Source organism: Homo sapiens, chromosome 2, assembly GCF_000001405.40.
Source record: "Homo sapiens chromosome 2, GRCh38.p14 Primary Assembly".
In the NCBI taxonomy this organism is placed as follows: domain Eukaryota; kingdom Metazoa; phylum Chordata; class Mammalia; order Primates; family Hominidae; genus Homo; species Homo sapiens.
Genome location: NC_000002.12, coordinates 15983266 through 15989265, shown reverse-complemented (window position 1 = coordinate 15989265; position 6000 = coordinate 15983266).

Sequence of the window (6000 nt, the reverse complement as noted above, 5' to 3'; positions counted from 1 at the left end):
TGCCAACCCCTTTTTTTTAATCTCATTGTGTGTGTGTGTGTGTATGTGTGTATGTGTGTATGTGTATGTTTTTGTGTGTGTGTGTGTTTATGTGTGTATGTGTGTATGTGTGTGTGTTTATGTGTGTGTATGTGTATTTGTGTTTATGTGTTTGTGTGTGTGTGTGTGTGTGTGTGTGTGTGTGCGCTTCAGGAGAAAGGCCTCTGCAACGCACAAGAAAGATTTTCTTTTTTCAGAAGATTTTTACTTCAAGGTTAGTTCAACAGCATTTTCTCATAAATAAGCATGAAAGCTTCGTCCCCTGGGCTGATGTCTTTCCGTTTATACACTGAGTACAATGACTCTCAATTCTACACATGATGCCAGCTCTCTTTGAATGATAACAGCTGAAATATATAATACTAGTGCTTTAAAACACGCACACAGGCATGCAGAGAATTGGGTAGCCTCAACCTTGAACAATTACAGTATTTTGAAATGAAGTTCAGCATTTCTTGATTTCATATATCTCTGTCTAAATTAAAAGTTACTGTCAGGCTGTATTATCCTGTTGATCTTCCAGTTTGTGCATCAGAGTTCAAATTATTTGTTTTAGTTTAATATTATTTTCTATTGAAAATGTTACAGCTATGTGTCTAGCATTTCAGTCACAATAGGGATGAATTATAAGTTCCAAAAGAGAGATTCTCACAATTTTAGAGATGGTAGGGTTTTAGAGAGTATCTAGACATATGCGGAAGAGGAAACTGAGGCCCCAAGAGACAGAGAGCTTGTTCTGAGGTCACTAGCCAAATAGTGAGAAAGGCAGGACTAGAAAATGTTGATAGCTTGTCTTTTGGGGAGTGTAGGGAAGAGTTATTTCTCTTCAAAATCCCTCTCAAATCTTCAGTCAAAAAATAACCAAGGCCGGGCTCAGTGCAGTGGCTCATGCCTGTAATCCCAGCACTTTGGGAGGCCAAGGCGGATGGATCACTTGAGGTCAGGAGTTTGAGACCAGCCTGGCCAACATGCTGAAACTCCATCTCTACTAAAAATATAAAAATTAGCCGGGCATGGTGGTGGGCACCTGTAATCCCAGCCACTCAGGAGGCTGAGGCAGAAGAATCGCTTGAACCCGGGAGGGGGAGGTTGCAGTGAGCCAAGATCACACCACTGCACTCCAGCCTGGATGACAGAGCGAGACTCCATAAATAAATAAATAAATCACCAAAAGAGGCCCCCCTGACCCTTCGTTCATGGGACTATTTGCCCAAGTCCTTATAAAGACTTTCTTCCTTAAGCAGAGATTTGGGGACCTTTTTCAAATTGTCTTTAACTTCTGTTTCCAAATCATGAGCAGTCATGTTTTACCGAAGTCACCAGCATCTTCACTAGTGACTCTCTGTTCTAACCTTGGGTTCGCCCAATGGTGGGGCTCTTTACCAAGAGCTTTCAACCTGCGTAAGCTGCTGATAGATCCCAGGCACGTAAGGGAACAGAAATCTCAGCCTGTGCCCAGGGAAATCTGGTATACCCCACATTTCAACTCCCAAGTGTCCTCTGCGCTCCGTTTTCCTCTTTCTTGCTGTTTCTTGCTTGCTTACTTGAGTGATTTGGATTTGAGGGTTCTCCCTCTGGCAATGACAGAAGAAATCAACTAGAGGCAGGCAAGCAGAGGCCTGGAGGTAAAATGTGGCTAGGGCAGCCTGGCGGAGGGTGCTGCAGTGGGTGGAGCTCATGAAGTGTCCTTGTTGACTTCTCCAGGAGAAGCTGATTCTGGAGAGCACCGTTAGGGAGAGACATGAACCAGCCCTGTGAGGCAGGATGACTCAGGAAGACAGGTGGGTTCTTCAGAGCTGGGTAAGTTACTTAGACTCTCCGAACCTCACTTTCCTACCTGCAAAATGAAATCATTTCTACCTCACAGGATCCCTATGAGGATTAAATGGCAGGGCTCATGTGGAAGGCACTTCATCCCATGCTTAGTGTGTGGTAGACACTGAATGAATGATTTAAAACACCAGCACTGGCCGGGCACACCTGTAATCCCAGCACCTTGGGAGGCTGAGGCAGGTGAATCACCTGAGGTCAGGAGTTCGAGACCAGCCTAGCTAACATGGTAAAACGCCACCTCTACTAAAAATACCAAGATTAGCAGGGCATGTTGGCTCATGCCTGTAATCCCAGCTACTCAGGAGGCTGAGGCAGGAGAATTGCTTGAACCCCGAAGGAGGAGGTTGCAGTAAGCCAAGATCTTGCCACTACACTCCAGTGTGGGCAACAAGAGCAAAACTCAGTCTAAAAAAAGACCACGGGCACCACTGCCCCTGCAAGCAGCCAGTTCCTCATGAACAGATCCTTCTCCAACTCCCATGCCCCAGCCAGGGCTGGGCATCACAAGCCCCCATCTGCACCTCCCAAATGCCTGTGCAGGTCCTGGCCTGGGTCAGGGCTGCCCTCAAGGGACCACAGGCGACCAAACAGGAACCTGGAGATAGATACCCTGAGAATATTTTTCCAGAGTGTTGGCCGGGGCCTGAGATCCCTTTCCTCAGGACACAGGCAGCTTCTAATTCCACATCCCAGGTCAGAGGTGGGGTACAAACTCCTGAGGGAGAAAGCACTCTCGGTGACTTGCAAGTGACAGGTCTTAGATCCGGAGGGCCTGGAGGGATGTACATCTTAGAGGCTGAAGGGAAATGCCCAGGCTCAGTGCAGGCACAGGGCAGAATCTGACCAGGAAACAGCTGCAGTACAGACAAAGGGGCCTTGGCAAGGCTAGGCCCTCCCAAACTGTGCCATGATTCCCAGGGCTGGCCCTGACAGGTATGTAATAGATGATCATTGAGTCAATGGGGAACAGGGGTGAGTTTACACAGAACTCAGTTTGCATTCGGCAGGAATTCCTACGGAAACAGTGGTGAGGGATCAGGACATGAGGGAAACGCTGGGCAGATGTTTTCAGTTCAGGGCCGGGGGCTTTCAGGAAAGCACAGCAGACAGACAGCAAGTTCACCTCTGCGGGGGAGGAAGGGAGAGATGCGGCTGCAGGCCGGGGCCATCTGGCCCTTTGCTCCCAGGTTTTCAGACCAGCTTCTAGTAACCTGTCAATCACGGCTCAGCCCTGGGCTGAGTGCTGATGGCAAAGTTCAGAGAAGAAATATCCTTAACTTCCCAAAGGTAATGCACGCACACACACATCCACAGACACACAGATACATAGACACACATACATATACACAGAGACACACATACAGACACACACAGACACACATGGAGACACACATACATAGACACACAGAGACACACACAGAGGCACACAGGCACACACATGGAGACATACAGAGAAACACACACACAGATGCACACACACAAACACACAGGCACGCTATGCACGCATATACAGACACACATACACAGACACACACACAGACACACACGTACACACAAAGGCACATATACACAGGCACACACATAGACATACACAGAGACACACAGACACATGCAGAGACACATACTCAGAGACACACACAGACCACACACAGACCCACACACTCACACACACAGACACACATGGAGACACGCATACAGACACACACAAGCACACATACACACACGGAGACACACATACAGAGATACACAGAGAAATACACAGACACAGGCACACAGACACACACAGGCACACACAGACACACAGGCACACCGACACACACGGAGCCACACAGACACACACACACACAAAGACATGCAGACACACAGACACACACGAAGACACATGCAGAGACACACAGAGAAACACACACAGACACGCAGGCACACATACAGAGACACACACAGGCACACTGTACACATATACAGACACACACAGAAAGACACATACATACACACACAGGCACATATACATAGCACACACATAGACATACACAGAGACACACAGACACATGCACATAGACACATACTCAGAGACACACACACACAGAGACACACACAGAGACACACACAGAAACACAGGCTCACACTCACAGAGTCCAGGCCTGTCTGGAGAAGCACTAGGAGAAAGACACGGGGGGAAGGAGAGGCCGAGATAAAGTGAGGAGGGGAGCGATCTGGAAAAGCAAGGAGAGGGTGAGGAGCGGGATAGGGATCACAGTCCCCGAGCTTGGGCTGAGGCCAGGCCCAGTCTTGAAAGGGGCCCAATAGGGCAGCCCAGTGCCAGACAGGACTCGGTCTGACAGAGACCTGTCCTTGCGCAGCCTGGGGTTTGCTCTGAGGTTTTGTGGGTCTAAGCTATCTCTGAGGTCACCCCCATACGCATCATTTATTCGCGTCTGTGAGTGCTTTGGACATTCATGGCTCCGCAGTCGGCGCAGGACCGAGGCCCCCACGGACAGAGCTGTCAGGTAGGGCAGACCGGGCGCTGGGGCTGGAACGTTCCAGAGGCTCTGGCAAGGCATTCCAGGAAGGGAACGTTCACTTCAGAAAGGGCCTCATGGGGGCCTCTTAACCCCCAGTGCCTGCGCTCGCCCAGAGACTGGCAGGCCAGGGCAGCAGCCGGCCGGGACTGTCTCTCCGGGCTGCAGACAGCCTGGCTCCAGGCCCACCTCCCGGTGCCCTCGGCCTGACATCTTCTGGGCAGAGCCACCATGCCCAGGGAGCCGTGTGGATGGTGTTAGTAAACACGCTTTCTTGCGCCCAGCCTGGCAGGGCCTGTGGGCAGCGGGAGGGCAAGGCGCTGGCAGCTCCCACGGCCGGGCAGGCGGGCGGGCAGGCAGACAGGCGGGCAGGCCGCCCCGCACAGCCCAGCCAAGGCCCAGAACAGAGCAGCTGCTCCCGTCGCCATGGAGACGGGGACTGAACAATGAGCATCCAGAAATGCAGCATGGCCGCCTGGCACTGCGGCCCACACTCCCACCAGGCCCTCACACCTACACACAGGCACGCACATGCATGCATGCACACACACACACGTGAACACACATGCATGCACTCACACAGTCTCGGCCTCCCTGCTGGAGAAGCAAGAGGGAGAAGGAGAGGGAAATGGGGAGAGGGAGAGAGTGCGGAGAGGAGGAAAGGGGAAAGAGTGAAGAGGAGAGCAAGGGAGATCACAGCTTCATTGTTGCAAAGTTGAGCAAAAATCTCACCCTTTGATTCTAGCTAAAAATACGTTTTGCAAAACTTGCCAGCTTTTCAGAGGGTCATGTGGTGCCCTGGATTCTTGTGTAACAGGAGAGTGAAAGGGGGTTTCTAATTAGCAAAAGCATCTTGAATCAAATCACCTTCTACTTAGAGAGGGGTAGCTGAGAGCCCGACGGAGTTTTAAGTCCCAGGAAATTAGAAGAACACTTTCTTAAATGGATCTAAATCCCATGTAATTCCTCCTTGGAGATAATGCGAAGAGGAGGCCAACAGGTTTAGCCACAGTCTCGGAAATGGAGAGCCTGAAAGAGGCTTCATCTGGCCCCTTGGGAAGGCAGAGGGCAGCTGTGTCCAGAGGATTTGAAGAGACCTGGGGCAGGCTCAGGAGGGCAGCCCATGGGCATCTGGTTGTGGTGCTTGTGGGTGTCTTCTGAACACTTCCTTTGTGTGAGATACTGAGCAGGTCAGCCCCTGTCTTCCAGGGGCTCCCAGGACCCCAGCGGGGGAGGTGGCAGGGCCCCCGATGTGCACTGGGTAAGCGGGCACATCCCTATGTAGACACACTCTCCCGCTCACCAACCAGCCACCAGCCAGCCCTCAGCCCTATCCTCGTGTCTACAATGAAATCAGGTCTCGAGTCTCTGAGACTTCCAGGACCACTGTCCAAGGACTGGCAATTCCCATCCTAATTTCCATCAAGTGCTCAACCTGCAGGAAGTCGCTTGATTTCTCTTGGCTTTGCCTGGTTCCTTCCTGCTTCAGAGCAGGTGGGTGTCCTCCACAGGTGGCCAGACCCTTTTAGCAGAAAAAAATGGACTGCCTGCTGATTGACCTGATGGAGTGTAGGAGCTGGAAGGGACACTCTAAGGTTCTGGTGTCCAC